At 36.9% G+C, this 21,098-nt stretch overlaps 2 protein-coding genes and 1 pseudogene across 21 annotated transcripts in view, besides 1 other annotated feature; 1 reads left to right on the top strand and 2 right to left on the bottom strand.

The window, feature by feature from the left end:
* PIK3C2G (phosphatidylinositol-4-phosphate 3-kinase catalytic subunit type 2 gamma) overlaps positions 1-21,098 on the bottom strand; it is a 483,857-nt gene that overhangs the window by 31,446 nt on the left and 431,313 nt on the right. Inside the window, exon 34 of one of the 6 annotated variants that reach the window (XM_011520697.3) lies at positions 19,677-20,520. The exons of the other annotated variants lie outside the window; for them this stretch is intronic. Within the exon in view, the coding sequence (XP_011518999.1) occupies positions 20,500-20,520 (21 nt within the window). The 3' untranslated portion in view covers positions 19,677-20,499. Of the gene's footprint in view, positions 1-19,676; positions 20,521-21,098 lie in introns of those variants that run through there. 6 annotated transcript variants of the gene reach the window in all.
* PLCZ1 (phospholipase C zeta 1) overlaps positions 1-21,098 on the top strand; it is a 92,404-nt gene that overhangs the window by 42,641 nt on the left and 28,665 nt on the right. For 8 of the 15 annotated variants that reach the window (XM_047429828.1, XM_017020183.2, XM_017020178.2 and 5 more), the window contains 5 exons: positions 293-462; positions 7,154-7,283; positions 11,093-11,242; positions 12,048-12,120; positions 14,254-14,311. In XM_047429828.1, coding sequence (XP_047285784.1) covers positions 293-462; positions 7,154-7,283; positions 11,093-11,242; positions 12,048-12,120; positions 14,254-14,296 — 566 coding nt within the window. In that variant the 3' untranslated portion in view covers positions 14,297-14,311. Of the gene's footprint in view, positions 1-292; positions 463-7,153; positions 7,284-11,092; positions 11,243-12,047; positions 12,193-14,253; positions 14,312-21,098 lie in introns of those variants that run through there. The other 7 variants (XM_024449255.2, NM_033123.4, NM_001330774.2 and 4 more) reach the window with 3 other exon arrangements.
* Positions 1,049-2,613, bottom strand: PSMC1P9 (proteasome 26S subunit, ATPase 1 pseudogene 9; annotated as a pseudogene).
* Positions 3,944-5,143: an enhancer, noted in NCBI's record as "BRD4-independent group 4 enhancer chr12:18843163-18844362 (GRCh37/hg19 assembly coordinates)". NCBI's record gives its function as "activates an origin of replication core promoter dependent on BRD2, P300/CBP, MED14 and CDK7 cofactors, and independent of BRD4, by STARR-seq in HCT116 cells {active_cell/tissue: HCT116}" and the evidence as "EXISTENCE:reporter gene assay evidence [ECO:0000049][PMID:35650434]".

Here is a 21,098-nt window from a genome sequence, read left to right as displayed (position 1 = left end):
ACCTGACATGAACATTGTTATTCTGTAATCTGTACTGGATACCATTTTGATTTCTTTACTCAAAGCTGTGTAGTAATTTACTTACAGATTAAACTTTGCAACTCATCAATATACATTAATATAGACATGGCAGGAGAAAGAGTTTTAAAAATCATGAATTATTAGGCTAATGATACTTGCTCATAGAACATTTGGGGACATAGAATCCATTATTAGATTTCAGTAAGTGGTTTGTGTTCCTTTATTTGTATTCTCTATTACCTGACAATGTCAAAATACTTCTTTCTTACAGTGGCTTTAAATTTCCAGACCCCTGGTCTGCCCATGGATCTGCAAAATGGGAAATTTTTGGATAATGGTGGTTCTGGATATATTTTGAAACCACATTTCTTAAGAGAGAGTAAATCATACTTTAACCCAAGTAACATAAAAGAGGGTATGCCAATTACACTTACAATAAGGGTAAGATTAATAAATTTTCTTTTACATTTTTTGGTTATTATATAAACTAGATAGTGTACATTAGTATTTTGAATTCCACTGATTTGCTTCAATTTCTTTTAAATTTCTGTTAATCTTTTCAGGTACTATATGTGGGTAGTATTCCAGCATCCTTCTATATCTGAAAAATGTCTTCCTGTTGTAATTTTACATGAATGATTATCTGCCTGTGAATTGACATATTGAGGCTAAAACCTTCTCCTCTCAAAGTTCTACTATATGATTTCATTGTATTTAGGCATTTAATATTGTGAGATACAGGTCTCAGTTCAGCCCACTAATTACTTTGTGGGCATGTTACTTTTTCTCGCCTTTGATGAATTTTACCTGGAAATTTTAGGAGCCCTTTTCTTTTCCTCAGTCTCCACAATTAGGCTTTTGTAGGTCAGGATTCTTCCCCCCATATGTCTGTGAATATCATTTGATTACTTAAAAAGAAAAATTATCCATATGTCTTTCTCCAGTATCTGTCTTCAGTGTCTGTTAATTTGTGTCAACTTTAACATATTCCCTTTTCCTCTGCATGTTGGGAGAGCTTTTTTGTTTGTTTGTTTGTGAAAGAGCGCGCTTTATTGGGAAGCAGACTGCTGCACAGTGACCAACAGACAGGCCACCCAGTGGGCACTTACACATCGTACTCCAAAAGACACAGGATGTTTTGCTAATAAAAATCAATGGGAACAGAGATTCCTCTGGGCAACTCCCCCAGCCTCATCCCTTTCAGGGACTGAGAAATCACCCAACCATTTTCCTGATGGCAGCCGTAGTTCACTAGAGATACAGCCCCTCAGGGGTGTCTTCCTGTTTCTTATAAAGAACATTTTCTTTAGATTTTTTGAAGTCTTCATTTGTTACTTTCATTCTACGTTCTCTTAAGGCCATCAGACCAGCTTCTGTACAGACTGCCTTGATGTCAGCACCAGAGAGGTCATCTTTAGCCATGATCAAGTCGTGCAGGGTTACATCATCAGCCAGCGTCATCCTGCTTGTGTGAATCTGAAAGATGGGCTTCTTCGTCTTTTCATCAGGCAGGGGGAACTCAATCTTCCTGCCAATGCGGCCTGGTCTGATAAGCGCTGGATCCAAAGTTTCTATTTGGTTTGTGGCCATGATAGCTTTCACATCTACCCTAGAATCAAATCCATCCAACTGGTTCAGCAGTTCCAACGTTGTTCGCTGAATTTCTCTCTCACCACCAGAATTGGAGTCATATCTTTTTGTCCCAATGGCGTCAATTTCATCAATAAACACAATGGACGGTGCACGTTCTTCAGCAACTCGAAACAATTCCCGTCCGAGTTTGGGCCCATCACCTAGGTACTTCTGAATAAGTTCAGAGCCAACCACTCTCAAGAAAGTGGCTGAGGTTTGGTTTGCTACTGCTTTGGCTAACAAGGTTTTACCTGTGCCAGGTGGACCACAGAGAATGACCCCCTTGGAGGCTTTATACCCATCTCTTCATAATATTCAGGATGGGTGAGAGGAAGCTCCACAGATTCCTTAATTTCCCGAATTTGGTTGTCCAACCCCCCAGTATCTGCATAGGTCTCTTGGGGGGCCTTTTCCACCTTCATCACTGTGACCAGGGGATCCATGTCATCCATCAGCACCCCTATCATGGTATGCACCTTGTGGTTGAGCCTGACCGAGCAGCCAGGTTCCAGAAGATCCTTGTCTGCAAATGAAAGAATGCTGATGTAGTGTTCTGAGCCCACAGATGTAGACACGATGGCATGATTGTCATCAATGATCTCTTCCAAGATTCCTACTGACATTGGGGTCCCCCTCAGATCATCCACTTTTGATCTTTTCCCTTCTTGCTTTTCTTCTAATGGTTTCATTTGTTCCTGATTTCTAATGAATTCTTCCTCCATGAGAAGATAGTCTTTAATTCTCTCTAACTTCAGTAATTTTAACTGGCACTGAGTGTGAGGTGTCACCAGTGGCAGTTTGCTGGCAGCATCTGGTCCCTTTGTTTTCTTCTTCTTTTTCCCCACTGTAGTTGGTACAGGAGGTTCATATTTCTTTTTCTTGTCCTTGAGTTGTTAGAGCTTGTCATCCTTCTTGCCACCTCCAGGACCATGACCACCACTCTGACTTTGACCCATCTTGCCTTGGCCTGGGAGAGCTTTTAACATTTTTTCTTTATGTTGATGATTCAAAGTCTGTATTTGATTTTGTTCTTTACTGATTTCAATGTAGAAATGATTTTTTTCTCCTGCATAATTAGTCCTCCTGCCCCATTGCGGTTGACCTCATATTGCTTCCTTTTTATTTCTGTCTGTATCCCACCTAGCACCTTTCCTCCAGACTCTCGTCTTATTATTTTAGCTTTTATTTTATCACATCCTGTAAAACCTTATGGAGCATAAAAGCAGTTGTCTAAGATTTGTTTCCATTAGTAAAGACTTTTCAAAACGTTTTTCTTTTTCCTCTATAACCTAAGTGCTATGCTTATTTTCTTTTTAAAATGTCATTAAATCTTTTGAAAAACCTCTAGTTGCTTTTTCTCTCCACTTACTTATGAGCAGTTCTATTTTAGGCTATAACTGTACCTGTTGTTTGCAAATCAATAGAGTGGCTATGGTTTCATTGGTCCCTCTTTCTATTTAACTAGTTACTCCTAGAACTGTATAAACCATCTCAGATCCTACCTGGAATTTTGTAGTGTTTATGTTTCTGTCCCTGGCCAGCAATGTCATTACTTAGTGAAGCTCTGCCAGCTGCTGAGCGCTCCTCTGCTCCCCATTACCTGGCTGTTAGAGTGCAAGAAATGCTGGGGCCTCCAGAATGTGCTTCTCCTGCGACTTTTCCTGGCTCAGCTCCTTTTTCCACCATCGTAATACCACAGGATTTGGGAAGCTACACTCCACGTCTACTTCAGGACCTAGCCACTTTATCTCAGCTGAGAATGGGAGGATTGAGAGCTGTTTTCCAGAAATTAATGTGGAAAGTATAGCAAAGATGACCAGGACTAGAATGATCCTGACCATTGCAGGAAACAGTGCCTGTGAAGTATGTAGCTGGCTTTTGTATTGTCTGTTAAGGAGTTTGTGACTCTGATGTAGAAGCATTTAATGGATAGGCAGCAATTGCCTACAACACTGGATTGTTGGTACTCCTTCAAGGTCTGGCAAAGAATTAACTACTGACTTCACTTTACAATGCTATTATAATGTTGACATCTTTTTGTAGTTGATCTGGTAAAAAGAAGTGGCAAATCAGCCACTTTGAAGAGCCCTTCCATTTCTACACACATTGCTCTTCTATGCTCTGGGACTGGACTCTCCTTTTACCCCCTACCTTCCAAGTGATTGTCATTTTTACTTGTGGCTTCCTCTTTCTCTGCCTTCCCTTAAGATATTTATGTTAACTAAAGTCTTTCCTTAAACCTTGTCTCAAACTATTCTCCTTGGATTCTGTTACATAAACATTCATAGTTTCACCACCAACAATGCTCAAGTCTTTAATTGGACATGATTTTGGGAATCTAAAGGCATATTTTAGCTCACTGAGCATCCTTACCTCCTTAATCACCATTCTGTCAAATTTAAAATAGTAAAACTTGAACATCCCTTCCTAATCAAATCTACTTCTGCTCTTACTTAAATGTCAACAAATTGCCCCATTCTTCCACTCTGCTCGGACTAGAAAATTGGGAACCATTCTAATCTTTCACATCTCCTTCACATCCCACATCCAGACCAACGTTAAATTCTGCTGATTCTATTCCTAAATATTTTCCTTCTCCATTCTCTTGATCTGACCTATTTTGCTGCTCTCCTGTATCAGGAATTTACTACCTGTCATCAGGTCTATTTCTTTGGCTTCCTGATGGTTTCAGGTAGCCTGTCTCAGTCCTCCATATCTATTCTCCACAAGTTGACCGGAGAGATTTTGCTACAGTGCTAATATTATCATGCATACGTAATATTTATTTGTGTCTCTTGACTACTATCTTAGTCAGGCCTTGCCCTACTTGCCTAGCCCTATCTCTCACCACTTCTAGCCTTTCATCCTGTTCTACAACCATGTGGAACTAGGATCCTTCTCTAACCATGACTCACCTCCACGAATTGCGTAGGCTCTTCCTGTGACTAGAGCATTCTTTCAGCCTTACCTGCCTATTTCATTTTGACTCAGTTTTCAAGACTTAGGAATCATGTCTTTTTGAAAGCATTTTCCTAGGCTAGGTTAGCTGTGCTTCTTTTCATAGCTTTGCTGTTTTCCGTAACACCCTCTGCATGCATATATTATGGCATTTATCACAAGGTTTTATAATTGTTTATTTACTTGTAACTTGTCTTCTCCATTTGTCTGAGGATTCTTTAAGGATAAGAGATGTGGGCTGGGTATGGAGGCTCACATCTGTAATCCCATCACTTTGGGAGGCTGAGGTGGGCAGATTACCTGAGGTCAAGAGTTCAAGACCAGCCTGGCTAACATGGTGAAACCCTGTTTCTACTAAACATACAAAAACTTAGCTGGGCATGGTGGCATCCAACTGTAATCCCAGCTACTTGGGAGGCTGAGGCAGAAGAATCGCTTGAATCCAGGAGGCAGAGGTTGCAGTGAGCCGAGGTCGCACCGTTGCACTCCAGCTTGGGTAGCAAGAGCCAAAGTTCGTCTCAAAGAAACAAACAAACAAACAAACAAACAAAAAACAGATGTGTTTTGTTCCACCTTATTTGTGCCTTACACAAAGTATATGCCCAATATATCTAGGTTCATTGAACAAATACATTATTTTTCCTGTTATGAATAGTAAAGAGAACATATGTGCTCTTTTATTGAGAAAGTGAAGGTGGAAGGCAGCTAGTGTGCACAAATGCTCACAAGTGCCACGTTTGTATTCTGAGGAGTCTCTTGTTGAGGTGTAACTGGCATGGAGAGTTAATGATTCTCCAGGAAGCTGCTGCCATGGCCATGTGGGTCTTTCTCTGTTGCCTCTATCACTCTAGGGAGCTTTGTGATTACTTTATGACTTGCTCAGATAGTAGAAGGCACGATTTGGGAATCAGAGAGCCAAGTTTTACTATAAGCTTTCTTAAGTTCTTGATGAAGGCATTTGACATTGCTGCTTTACTCTTCGTCACCTGCAATCTGAGAGTTTTGGTCTAGGCCAGTTATTTTCAAATTTATAAAAGCTACAGGACTGCTTTCTAAATCCAAAATCTTATGGGTAAGGCCAATGGGTAACAACAGAGTTGACCACTGAGGGCTTATTGTTTGATATCCCTTCCTCTGCATTGGCTCCTGTACAAACAAATTTGTTAATTTATTTACAAATTATTTGATCAATGCTCCCTAAACCAGGGGTGTCCAATATTTTGGCTTCCCTGGGCCACGTTGGAAGAAGAGGAATTATCTTGGGCCACACATAAAATACACTAACACTAACGATAGCTGATGAGCTTTAAAAAATGCAAAAAGAATCTCATAATGTTTTAAGAAAGTTTATGAATTTGCGTTGGGCCGCATTCAAAGCCACCATGGGCCACATGTGGCCCGCAGGTTGGACAAGCTTGCCCTAAATTCTCATTCAGTTTTCATATTCAATTATGTTTTTCAAAATTAGATAATTTTTTTTTTCTTTCTGGAATGAGGTACACCGAGCTGAACCTACTCCATTTTGGGAAGGGTCTATTACCTGTAAAGTGATATTTAGCGGGTCTATAGTGGTATTGGGACCAGTGTACTATATGTTTATGGCCATTGTTCTTTCTAGTTACTTTGATGTCTAATTATGCTGATGCCCATTCCATGCTGATTGCTAAACAGTTGCATAGTCATACTGGCTTCTAGCTAATGCCGTAATCTGTGGAATTAGGAAAAATCACACATTAGTGTTTTTTCTTTTCCTTTCTTTTCTACTCCTTCTCTCCCTCCTTCCTTCCCTCTTTTCCTTTCTTTATTCCTTTATAATCAAACTTAATTATATATTTGTTTCTCCTTATGTAACCTTCAGAAATTGGAATTATGCCTCAATTTTTATAACTGCGTTTTTAGGCTTATATCTTCTATCTCTTAGCCTAAGTCAGTACATTTCAAATATAGTTTTGTTGTGTGCTCATTTTGTTCCTTAAATTATAACACATTTTTGCTTCAACAATTAGCTTGGCAAATACAAGTTTAAATACAATTATTATTAATTACTTTGTTAAGATTTTTTTGATACCCAGTCCCTAATATACATATGAAATAACTGATTTTGTGAAACTCAGAAAATGCTATCACAGGGAGTTAAATGGTACATTTTTTAAAAAGTAATATTTCTATTGCTTTAAATTTTTTCCAGCATATATATATATATATATGAATTCAAAAACAGTACGTTATCAGAGTAACTCGACCTGAATTCCCTGAAATGTGATCATAACAAATGATTTTAAAACAAAAATATGTTAATAAATCAAAAATTGTGGACATTGTGGATTTCACTATAATTTTGTACATATTCTTGGTGTTTATCTACTGATAACTGAGGATAAAAGACTTAAATTTTAAAATTTGTATTGTATTCCACTTTCAATGTTTGTGGGAGCTGACTTAGAGTCCATCAACTTTTTGTAATACATAACTTAATTTTGAAATAAATGGTGATGTAACTTAATATCTTGCTAAATTCTTATATTCATATATATTTGTGCAGCTCATCAGTGGTATCCAGTTGCCTCTTACTCATTCATCATCTAACAAAGGTGATTCATTAGTAATTATAGAAGTTTTTGGTGTTCCAAATGATCAAATGAAGCAGCAGACTCGTGTAATTAAAAAAAATGGTGAGCTCCTGATATACCTTATTGAATTTCCATTAGACTTCTTGTTGGAAAGCTTACAAATTATATGTTGATAGAGTTTTTGTACATATTTATTATTCATAAGACAAGGGTTTTCCATTATGTCCAAAATTAGCAAAATGTTATATGCAACAAAAACATTTTTATAATGATTAGGTTGTTTAGCTGTATTTTCAGATTATGAATACAGAAATGTACCTGACCTTCAAAATTATTGCTTAAAAAAAATTTACCTCTTTTTTATGTTTTCTCTCATATCACCGAATTAAGAAGGCATTTTAACAGCCTCAAATCTACTTAGCTTCTAGCCTTTGTATTAAATCAAAAATTTGTGATTTTTGACACAGCATATTATATATTTTTATAATGAATTATTTGAATTATTTTAGATTAAAAGTCTATGGCTTCTGAATCAGGCTAAGGATGCCATAGAAGCCTACTGATAGAATTTTTGGATAATTCAGTCATTTTTGCCATAAGGGAAGTGAAGAATTAAGGGAAATAACTTTGGTAAGATTTTCATCATTCTGGCATGCTATGACATCTTACACAGTATAGTACTGGCATTGCCATTTCTTCTCTGAGGTTGAAATGACTAAGGAAATTAGAAAAGGATAGGTTCCTGGGATTGATCCCTGGTCAGGATCACCTTGAAGGAGACATTGGAACTGATTCTTGAGTCTGGAATCTTCTTCAAGGGATATTCTCAAAGCAAAGTGGACTTCATTCCAGAGTCTAGAAATATGCTCCAGATCAAATGGCAATGACAGAGTAGCAGGCACAGTTTTCTTTTTCTTCTTGGATAATAATTTCTAACAATGTCCATAGTCTGCCTCCTTTGCACTCCCCTGAATACTTCCAGTGTGGCTTCTAGAGCGAAAGTCATGGAAAAAGATTTGGAAAGATTTTATTGCCTTATCCTATGTTATCAATGGGAAGGGATATTGATGATGACTTCCTGCCTCATTTGACACCCTTTAGAGTTGAAGGCACATTGCTACGGCTGTGTCCAGAGATAGTAACTGCTGATGTCATGAAGCTTATAATAATCTATCTCTTGTTCCCTCCATCCTCTACTTGAATCTTCATCACAAAATGCTTAGAAACTTAATTTATTCAATGCACCCCTTATAATACTGTGATTCTAGAATTTGTATTACCTCCTTGGATTTTATGGGAATATCCTTGCAGAAATTCAATTTGGTTCATCAAACATTACTGAGCCTCTGCTATGCTAAAAGCCTTGTGCTGAGTAGTAAAAGACTTAAAATCTGTTTATTAAATGAATTCTTATATATGGACCAACGAACTCTTCTATAGATAGTTTATAGTTCAGTGTGAAAGATGATGCTATAAGTAAAATAATTATGATTTAGAGTAATTCGTGCTTCAAGAAGAGTACAAAGATTTGTACTCCAAGGGGGCACTTTTGGAGATGGTTCTTGGAGAATGAGTAGAATTTTTTAGAGATTGGGGACAAGGACATTTAAGGCAGAAGCCATAATATAAGTCTTAAAATATGAAGAAAATACAATTTAAACATACCAGAGACAGAACACAAGTCCTAAAATATGAAGAAAACACAATTTAAACATGCTAGAGAAAAGCCAAGAAACTCAAGATGGGTGGAATATAGGGTGCTTAAGAAAGATTAGTGAGAGATAAAATGAGAAAATTATTTAGGGAGGGTCATGGAAAATCTCAAAAGCCATGCTAAGGTGTCAGGAACTTTCTTTTTTCTAGAAAATGGATAAAATTCAGACTTTTAAGTAGGGCTATAACTTTAACAGAGTTGAGTGTTAGGTTTTTTTCTGCAGATTTGAGAAGAAGTATACGAGAGGGAAATGAGAAATACAAAGTAGAGTCAGGATAAAATTTCAGTGGTTAGAGGATATAAAAGTCATGGTATAAAGGAGGCCGTGGCAGTAGGAAAGGAATGGGGGATGTAAGTGAGAAACACTGCGCAGAAGTCAACGTCCAGATGGCTGGACAAGAAGAATTTTAAGATGATTTAGCTAGACATGAGAGTCTGGGAGGAAAAGGATAACATTTGGATAAAATGTGGAAATAATTCTTCAGTTTTGGTCATGTCTAGGATAACTATTTTCATCACTATCAAATTTGGTATCCTGGTTTACTTTTTTTTATGTTGACAACTGAAAGTGAGGGCTTTCTCTTATAATTAATCCATATTATTGTATGTGTGTGTGTGTGTGTGTGTGTGCGCGTGTGTGTGTGTGACAGAGAGAGATACAGGAGGAGGATGGAAGGGAGGCAGAGGCACATGTGTAATGAAGTAGGATTGGAGGAAGAAGAAATCAGTATAAACATTTCTGCAGATGTTTTGCAGTATCTATAAAGAATTGACTCTAAACCTGCCTCTGTACCCCATGAAATTATTTCTCTTCTTAGGTCAAGGTAATATGGTCATTATTCCAGCATGAGCCAATTAGTTTACTATTTCTGTGGGCATAGACTGCACCCTAGATTGCTATGTGGTAAATGTGCTCTTGTGACCACAGGTGAACCATAGAAAACATAGATATAGTATAATTAGAAATTCATCAGTGCTTCTGGAAATGTAAGTCAAAGAACAAAAACTATTGACATAGCAAGTGTAGCATTGCCTTTGTAAATGAAAAATAATACACATGATTCTTCTCCAAACCTTTGAGTCTTTATTAAGCAGAATTTATATTTAATCTGGATGTGAATTTCTTGATTCTGTTAAATTACGCTTTACTTTTTGGATGATTTGGGTCATACTGTGACACGATGTGGATTTCTTGCTTGGCAGAAATTGGTTGCTTGGGATGATTTATTTTCTTAGAGATTGAAATTCATCAACTTTGGACTTTGAAAGGAGCACTTAGTCTAAAGAAGGATCAAGAGTTGGCTTTAGTTTGTTATCTAGCTTTCAGTCTAACAACTAAGTATGGAACTCTTCCCATAATAAGACTGACTGTATTAGTCCATTTTCATATTGCTCTAAAGATTCTACCTGAGACTGGATAACTTACAAAGGAAAGAGGTTTAATTGACTCACAGTTCCTCATGGCTGGGGAGGCCTCAGGAAACTTAGAATCATGGTGGAAGGTGAAGGGGAAACAAATTTGGACCTTTTCATGTGGCAGCAGGAGATTGCTAGTAAGAGTGGGGAAAACTGCCTTATAAAACCATCAGATCTCATGAGTACTCACTCACTATCATGAGAACAGCCCCCTATAATCCAGTCACTTTCTACCAGGTGTCTTCCTAAACACCTGGGGATTACAATTCAAGATGAGATTTGGGTGGGGGCACAAAGCTTAACCATATCAAGGACTTAGTATAGAAAAATGATGTTACTTAATTTTCTTCATTTCTCAATTTATTTGCTAAAGAATTGCCTAAGTACATCAGTCATATTGCATAATGATTAAAAGCTTTTGCTCTGAAGTCAGACTCCCCGTTTTTGAATTCCTGATCTGCCACTTAATGACCACATATGTGAAACCTTAGGAAATTATGTAACATCTTTGTGGCTCAGTTTTCCCATCCCACCCTGATGGGGTGGTTATCAGAATTAATTGAGTTGATCCATTCTTAGAACATTGCCCAGCAATAGTAAACACTCATTATTGTCTGGTTATTATTCCTCTCACACTGAGTATATTAAAAACCTATGTGCTCTAAACACAAGATATTATTGTTAAAGGGTTGAAAAGAAAAAGTTTGGAGAACAAATGTAATCTATTTTTTCCTAGATATGGTATCTATTATTCTTTGTATCTTCTTTTTTTATATTTCAGCTTTTAGTCCAAGATGGAATGAAACATTCACATTTATTATTCATGTCCCAGAATTGGCATTGATACGTTTTGTTGTTGAAGGTCAAGGTTTAATAGCAGGAAATGAATTTCTTGGGCAATATACTTTGCCACTTCTATGCATGAACAAAGGTAATGTCCCTAAAAGTTAGATGATTGTACCAGCATTTAAATATAACTTGTGTATATCAAAGACACATTTTGACATACCAAATAGCTCTATCATAAAGTAGGATGTAAAGGAAATTTTATGTATTGACACATATTTTTTCTCTGTGGAATTATAAAAATGTGTTCTCATGTGGAAGGTGGGGTGGGGGTGTGGGACTGACAGGAAGGCTAATTAGACAAACTTGGCATGTATAAGCATTTCTTTACATGCATCCTAGTTCTTCTGTTTCAGTAAAGAGTAGTCATGACTACCATAAAGAAATGATGATGGGTGGCAACCAGAAGGGAGAAGCAGTGACTCATTCTTCCTGCCTGAGGAGAAGAGATTGGGAGCCTGAGACTATCCTTTCCTGACCCCTTTTCAGGGCTGACTACCTTTATGTTGCAGAGTCACCTTTCCAGGGTGATTTACACTGTGCTCCCAATTACCTTGTCTCAATATGCTTACTTTTCTAACAGCATCTGAGATGTGCCTAGGAAACAGGTCTTCCTGAAGCAGAAGGGTGGTGGCTAATTTTGGATCATGCAGCGCTTTGCGGAAGGAGAAGTATGAGCTGTGTATTCAGTTTTGGGCAGTTAGGAAGTCAGAATAGAAAATGCAAATATTTAATTTTTGTGGAAGATTAATATACCAGATGGGAATATAACTCTATAGTCATGGTTTTTAATGTAGGCTTAGTAAAGAGCTCTTGTTTCTCAGCAAGGCTATTGGAGACACCACTGATTAATTGGTTATTGGTCTAATTAGATATAATTCCTTTTGCAGGTTATCGTCGTATTCCTCTGTTTTCCAGAATGGGTGAGAGCCTTGAGCCTGCTTCACTGTTTGTTTATGTTTGGTACGTCAGATAACAGCTAATGATAAATGACATATCATTAGCTATGCATCGCAATAAAACAGCCAAAATGAATGTCTTTATGTTTTCTTTTTTAAACATAAAGAAAAATAATTACTCATAAAACTAGAAATATTGAGCCCATTCACTTAAAAATATACAAAAATAAATCAGTGGAAGAAAAGAAAATAGAAACTTCAGAGGGTCCTAACCCAGCATGGCGTTCTTGTTTGCTGATTTCTCCTGCCCTTCTGCTGCTGAGTTGTTTTCAACTGGCTTGTATCATTTTTAATTACTAGAATTTATAAGCTTTTGAAATACATCTAATTATAAAATATACATTGGCAAATATTTAGCAGTATAAAAGAAATGTGAAATCTAAGAGTGTTTTAACTTCTAGACACCCACTACTGCGTATTTTTGTGGGAAGGAATTAGATTGCCAGGCCCTCTGAGCCTTTTCATATCCTGGAGAGTAATTAGCCCCTGCATTCTTATGCTAGTTCTTAGATGCTGTGCACTGGAGTTGGTACCCTGTAATTAGACAGCCATTTTTACGAGTGTGTATAAAATTGATTTGCCTGCAAACTGTATTCAGACTCCGTATCTATAAAAGAGATCTACTGTGTGGACTTACATGCTTGGATCTTAAATTAATTTGCAATGTTTCTGAATCTATACTAAATATACTTTCAAGATGGTTTCTTGGTCAGAGATGAAGTTCCTGTGCTATCTCACTTGCTGGACTTCTTACCAACAGCAAAACTTTGCTTTATTAAATGTCATGTAGAACAATATGGAACCACTGATATTAATACTAATTCTACCACATTGTTGCATAGTAGTGATGTGAAAGCACCCAGCACAAAGTTTGACAAAGTCAGGGACTTTTAATAGGGACTTTTGCAATGGAATCCTAACTAATAACTAAAATAATAAAATGTTTGGGATGTGTACTAACACGTGATATCTTTATGACCAGAAAATATAACCCAACTAGCATGTTTTACTATTATCATGGTTTACTCTCAGTACTAAATGTTTAAAATAAACGTATCACTGAGAATTCAAATTCCCAAGCCATAGGTAGTAAGAAATGGATGTGGTTACTAAGTGCACAATCTTCCAGTTTCCACCTCAAGGGCTGTTGGATTTAAGATCAGTGCACACCCTTCCCAGTAGGGATGCACAGCCAATTCTTAGAAAGATGCCTCTGTTTTGCCAGATAATGAATGGATCTTATTTAAATCATCTACTGTTCAGCATGACAGCAGGAGGGAGTTTCAGCCCATTGACCCAACGCTTTACCCTTCCCTAATCTCCTAAGGCCTTTTGAAGATCTGGAATTCCATGAAATTTAAAGGCTTTAATCAAGCGAGTTTTACAAGAGAGTTCATTAATTCTGCAGTGGAATAAACTTCTCATTTATACCATCAAGCTTTGAAATGAGAGAGAAAAAGGATATATTTTATTTTCTCTCCTTTTCTTTAGGTACCAAACTTATCTCACTAATTTTGAAGACCAAATTGTTCATTTTGAAATATTCCACTCTATATTAGGAATACGGACTTTGCGAGAAATATTAAATTATTTTATTTCTTGTTCAAGAATCTTATGATGTCTTGAAACATTTTTGGTTCCATTTTAAAATTTGCATTATTTATCATTTAATGTCCCTATGTATTGAACTAGAATTTTGATTAGAATTTTCTCACAAGAACTATTAACAGATTTTATTCATGTAAAACTCCAGAGTCAGGGAATGTTCTCACATTTAGAATAGGTTGGGAATGTTGTGAGAAGATAGATTTGATTAATGCTTTTTAGGTACAATTCATTTACAAGAAAAAATTGTGTTGGTAAATGTAAGAAAACATCGGAAAAGGCTAAATGAACCCTTGAGACTGTGGCAACAGAAGATTTTTTAAACTTTAAAGTCTTAGTTTAAAAGTCAGTTCCTCAGGGAAGCCATCCGTGTTCTGCTAGATTAGGTTATATTCCCTGACTTACGCTTCTTTACAACTGATAATGACAGTCAGGAACCAACTTTGTACTATCAGCCAGACTTTAGTGTTGCTAGGAGCTGCCGTGGAGCTCACAGCTAAACTGTCGTGTTTCCTTGTTGAACAATAAACAGTTTCACAGAGCATCAACCCGGACACAGCCACTCTGTACCATGACGGAACACGACAAAGACAAGAACATTCCGGAATCATGACTGAATGCACGGCAAAAACATGAATATCGTCCAAACGCAACAATGCTACACACTCCCCTATCCTGGCTGACATAAATGACTATTAATTTATTACCAAGTATCGCTTTAGCCTTGATTTACTCCTCTCATCATATAGATAAGATTTACTCCAATCATAGAATTGACCCCTGTTCTTGACGACATCCAAATACAGAGGAGAACTCTACTTTTTTGAAATCTCCCCCAGATCATTTAATCCAAGCCCAAATCCAATAGTGAGTCCTTTCTAATACCCTCTTACTGAGATGCCCTATGGCTTCCCATGTTGTGTCTCCTTTTGTAGTGAGCAATAGATGCAACTGTGTGTTCCTGGTTGTCTTTGGCTGGACAAATTCTGACTTCTTCCATTATCTTGTACTTACATGTGTTACAGAAAAGTTTAATTATGTTGTTAATTTTGAGGGTTTATTCTTTTTCTGGTTGTGGTTGGTTAGGGTCTCAAATAGAAGATGAGTACAGTCTCTCTACCCAGACTTATCTGGACTTTTGTCTGGGAAATGATGGTCACTGGAGGTAAATGACAGGCTGGTTGCTAAAGAGTAAAGTTGCCCTGTCTCTGAAAGAGGTGTGAGGAAGCTTCCCTGTAGCTGTAAAAAGAAGGTCTCCATTTTAAATGTTGGATATAAGGGAGTGTCTTGAGGGATGTAAAACATGTCCCTTATACAGAGCCTCTAGGAGTTCTAGTCAAAATCTTTGTGTAAATCTCAGGAAATTTGGGAGTCACACTAGGAAGAAGCTTGTGCTGTTGGTTAGTGCAGAGAGAATGGAATCCCTTTTGAGTGAAATGCTTATGGGATTGAACAATGGACATTTTACTGGGGGACTATATGGACTGGATTTCATTTTTCAAGAGTTCTTAATATCCCTTTCTTCTCAGTACTGCAAAAACATCTGTTTAATTACATTACTTTCCAAGTAATAACACACTGGAAATATGTGTACCAACAAAGGGTTCTTATGATGCATTCTAAATTCTTAGGCCATAAAATTTGAGCATTCTATAGGATTCATAGTTAAGCTACTTCTACCAGCCACTGGAAACCCTCATTCCAAACACTGGAGGGTTGAATTGAAGTGGATTTGAACTGATGAAGAGATAGATTTTCTTTTATGTATCTTCTACGCTTACACAACAGCTCAGCACACCTGGGAGCTGGTGTTAAATGCCTTTATAATGTACCTGTTTTCAGGGATAAGTGCCCTTTTTCTACTTTCCATGTGTACATAATTTAACTTTCACACTTTCAGTCATCTTTTCCATTCTTCTCGCAGGGCAGTCTTTTTTCTAATGTATTAATCACAATATCTGCAACGTTAGCCAGGGCCTAATGTGTGCCTAATATTAATAAAAATTAATCTTAATCCTTTCAGCAATCTTACATTGTATTGTTAATGACACAGGCTCGGAAACATTGAGGCAATGTTTACAGGCATTATAAACATTGCCTATGGTTTACAGTAAATGACAGAACCAGGGTTATTAATCTAGGGCCATCTGGAAAAAATGAATGTTGTCACTTAATGCACAATACACAAAAATTAACTCAAAATGGGTCATAAACCTAAATGAAAAAGCTAAAGTTATGAAACTTCTAGAAGAAAGCAGATAGAATATCTTTGTAGTCTTGGGATAAGCAAAGGTTTCTTGAAACATTAAATGCATGAGGCATAAAATAAATGATAGAGTTGATTTCATCAAAATTTTTTTAAAAAGAACTTCTGCCTTTTGAATACATCATAATGAAAATGATAAGGTAAGCTATATATATATCAAAGGACTTATATCCAGACTATATGAAGAATACTTACACCTTAATAATGACAACCCAGTAAGAAAAATGGGCAAAATATTTGAACAGGCACTTGCCAAAAGGAAATATGTGAATGATTAATAAGCACATGAAAAGAAGCTCAATGCCATTCATCATCAGAGAAAGGCAACTTAACACTATAATGAGTTATCGTTAGTATTGCTAAAATAAAACACAAATGACCACACCAAATGTTGAGGTGGATGTGGAGAACTGAACTCAATCACTGCTAGTGGGAATGTAAAGTGGGACAATCACTGTGAAAACAGTTTGACCATTTCTTACAAAGTCAAGCACATCCCTACCATATAACTCAAGCTTTTTGGTCCTAGATATTTACTCAAGGGAAATGAAAACACATGTCCACACAAAGGCTTCCATAACTGTTTATAGAAGGATTTTTTATAATAACCCCAAACTGGAAACAGCCCAAATGTTCATGAACAGGTGAATAGACAACAAATGATGTTATATCCAATACTATTTAATGTAATAAAGGAATAGACTATTCATACATGCATTAATAACAATGAATCAAAATGATTAAAATGAATGAAAGAATGTAGGCAAAAGGTAGTTATGTACTGTGTGGTTCCATTTATTCAAAAGAACAAAAAATGCAAATTAAATTTCTATAGTAACAGAAAGAAAATCAGTGAATGGCGTTAGGGATGGAAAGAGGGATGGATTAAAAGGAGCCACAAGAAATTTTTGGCATGGATGGAAGTGTTTATCTCAATTATCATGATGGTTGAATAGGGATATGCTTATGTCAAAACGAATCAAATTGTATACTTCAAACGTGAAGCTTTATTAACTTCAACTATATCTCAAAAAAGTTGAAAAAATTCAAATCCTGAAAAGAAAAATAGCATAATTCTGGCTTTCTTTTGAGCACGCTGACCAGTAACTTGTGTAAATGATGCATGAAAGGTTTATTTGGCTCAGATGTGACAATGTGTGTTCTAACAGCAGTATTAGCCAGACCTCTAATTGGATCAGGTGATAGAAGCCTTCCTAAGTGGGGACACAGAATTGAATGAATAGGAGGTGTAAAGCACTGTTCTAGACTCTGTGGACAGCTGGGCTTGCTAGAAACTTGTATAGAGTTGTTTGCATAATATTTATAGCAAATCCACATATCCACAATGTCATTCATTTAACCAATGAGAGTTATATTTCTCATATTCTTTATGCTAATTGACATACTCTCTTGATTGAAATACATTTATGTGCATCCACACACACAAACACACCACATACACAAGCACACATGAATATGGATACACATGCTCACACATAAATATCAGGTGTTTTATGACAAATTATTAAAGTACAATTTTAAAACCAAAATGGAAGGATAGATTTGTGCTTATATTTTTTAGATCTATCTACATGTTTAGAAAACACAAATAATTATTTTTGTTTTAAATGTAGACCAGTTGTTCTTAACCTTATCTGAACACTGGAATCATATAGAACATTTTAAAAATACTGATGTCTTTTCTCCCTTTTAAGAGATTCTGATGAAATTGGTGTGGCGTTCTGCTTCAGCTTTGTGATTTTTGAAAATTCTTTAGGTTATTCTAAAGCAGTGCTCTTAAAGCACTGCATTAGGTCCTCAGCCAGTGAAAACAGCATAGGGGACATTTTAAGAGACGAAAATTCACAGGCTTCACCCTAGACCTCCTGAACTGGAAACTCAGAAGGTCTGGCCAAGCAGTCTGCCTTCTAACCAGCCCTCTATGTGATTCAGATGCATGCTCAGATTTGAGAACCACTGTTCTAATCAGTGGTCAGGACTGAAAACAACTAGCCTTGCCTCTATTCATTACCGGTTTGATTGCACGGTGCTGATTCAGCCTATGTCGTGTGCCTGGCTTAGCTTTCTAGAAACTGTCTTGCTCGCCATCTTTCCTCAATTCATATGCTGGTTTAGATTTTGCTCTCTGGATTTAAAGTGCTCACATATTTGTGCATCATATTGTGGCAAGCAGCCTGACCAGGATCTGCTGTTGGAATATGACAGTATCTTGTGTTCAGCCAAAGCCCTGATACAGACTCCCCTTTTCTACATCAAACTTTCTGGAGAGACAGAGCTTTCTTCCCTGGTACCTTTTATTTTCCTTTTGGGAAAGAATCACTCTCATTCATCTTTATATTGTTCATGGTGATTTATGACAAATATCTGTTCAGTAAGCAACAAAGTTGTTTGAACCAGATGTTCTGGGAAATAAGAAAAACAGTTTTGCTTTTACAGTCTTTGGGAATCTGAAGTTTTAAAAAATGAGGAATGCATAGATCTTCCTGTTATTATTATTTTACATGGCTGTGATCAATCTTATATGTGTGTTTCCATTTCAGACCTCTTCCTAGCATAATCTTTCCCTTCTGACCTTCTAGTTTTTCTAACACCTATTACCTTTTAGGACTTTGCTGAAGAAAGAAAGGTAAGACAACAGGAATAGTTAAGTGGGCAGGCAAGTTAGTAATAATTCATTACATTTATAGTAATGCTTATACTATAGTCCTGCTTATTGTTCTACTTTCATCTTGCTAGACTGATTATTCTTTGTAGTCTACAACAGAGTCAGACAGTAAGAAATACACTCCCTTCTTAGACACCTAACTATAAAATGAACATAACTACCATGTATGTAAGTGATAACAGGAGAGAACAGAGTCCTCAGGTGGTTGAGAGTACTCAATGGGATACTAGCAAGGCAAATGCAGGCATTTTCACTGAAGAAGCAAGGGGTCAATGTACTGAGACTGATGCTCAGTTTGCTAAAGGGACATCTGCAAAAAAGCTGACTATGGGACATGGATTATATTAGATTCTTTCAGTTACAAAGTACACTGAACCTGGCTTGGTGGTTTAAGCAAATATAGACATTTATTAGCTCATATTGCTAAAGAGAACAGGTAAATCTGGTCTCAAAAGAGGCTTGACCTAAAGGTCAAACAACATGATTAGGACCTGGTTTCTTTCTCTTGTTTTTTCAGTTCCATGTATTCAGTTTTGGGTCCATTTTCTAGCTGTCTCTTGCCTCACAGTCCCAAGATGGCAATGTCTAAGGACACCCATGCAAAGCAGGAAGAATGAGAAAGACACAGGTCTATTGACTCGTGTTGATGGTATAATTTTTTTTCCTTTCTTTCAAAAAGTTTTTTTTTAAATAGATTCAGAAGGTATATGTTCAGGCTTGTTACCTGGCTATATAATTGTGATGTTTGAGTTTCTAATGTGCTTGTCATTTTAATAGTTAACATTGTACCCAAAAAGTAAAATCTCAAACCTCACCCCCCTCCCACCCTTCCCTTTTTGAGTCCCTAGTGTCTATTATTTACCTATCTGTTCATTTGTACTTATTGTTAGCTCCCTCTTATAAGTGAGAACATGTGGTATTTGATACTTCTGAGTTATTTCACTTAAAATAATGGACTCCAGCTCCATCCATGTTGCTGCAAAAGATATAATTTTATTCTTTTTCCTGGCTATGTAGTATTCCATGGTATAGATATATATATCACATTTTATTTACCCAATCAACCATTGATGAGCACTTACTTGGTTCTATGACTTTGCTATTGTGAATAGTGCAGTGACAAACATACAGGTGCAGGTATGTTTTTGATATAATCATTTCTTTTCCTTTGGGTGGATACCTAGTGGTGGAATTGCAGAGTTGAATGGTTGTTCTGCTTTTAGTTCTGTGAGAAATACCCATACTTTTTTCCACAGAGGTTGTACTAATTTACATTCCCACCAGCAGTGTATCAATATTCTCTTTTATCTGCATCCATGTGAAGATCTGTTGGTATAGTCTCAATGTACCTAGACTTCTATAATGGTTATAAAACTTTCCCCAAAACAGAGTGGCTTGAAACAGCCATCGATTTGTTTATGAGACTACAATTTGGCTGGACTAAGCTGATTTGCTGGTTTTACCAGGTGGGAGAGGGAGGAGGAGAGTTTACTCATGTGACTGTAGCCATCTAGACCAGCTCTGTCCAATTTGACTACTTATATTTAAATAAATTAAAATCAAATACAATTTAAAATTTTGTTCTCTAGCCACATTATTAATCACATTTCCAGTGCTCAATAGCTGTCAGTGGCTAGTAGCTACCATATTGAATAAGGTAGTTACAGACTATTGCCGTCTTTGGAAGTGCTGATCTAGAGAGTTGGCTGGGGCTAGATATTCCAAGATGGCTTCACTCACGTGACTGGAGCCTCAGTTGAATGCTAACATAGCTGAGTCAGCTAGTCTTCTCTCTCTCCCCAGGTTACCTTTCATCCCAGGGTTCTTCACAGGCTGGTGGAAGTGTTCTAAGCGGACAAGAGCAGAGGGTGCAATCTGTGTTGAGGCCTGAGCATGGAAGTCATACCATACCACTTTCAACTCATTACAGAAGTCATACAACATCACTTTCACTCTATCGTGTTAGTTAGAGCAAACAAAAGACCAGCCTAGCTTCAAGCAGTGGAACATTATGCTTTGCCTCTTCATGGGAGTAGTTGCAAAAAATTTGTGACCATGTTTCATCTACTATAATGCATGACAGCAAGAAAATGTAGGTTTACTCTCTCAAGAATAATGGTTGGCAGACTGAAAATGTTAGATTAAATGTTGATTGGAGAGAATTAAAATTCTGAGTTTAGGAGGACATTCATGTATTTGCTCAATTTATTTGTCCAAAAAATTCATAGAGTGAGAAAATATCACGTGCCAGGCATAGTAGCTGAAGATAAAGTGGTAAACAAAACCAACACGCTTCCACTGTCATAAATCTCACATTCTATTGCAGACATGTAAAACAAACATACAAAATTTTAGATAGTTACCAGAGGATAGTGTGAAGGTGTTACTTTAGAGAGTAAATTCAGGAAATGAGAGAAATCCTTTA

This window comes from Homo sapiens, chromosome 12, assembly GCF_000001405.40.
Source record: "Homo sapiens chromosome 12, GRCh38.p14 Primary Assembly".
Taxonomy (NCBI): Eukaryota; Metazoa; Chordata; class Mammalia; order Primates; family Hominidae; genus Homo; species Homo sapiens.
This window is presented reverse-complemented; position numbering and strand designations above follow the sequence as displayed.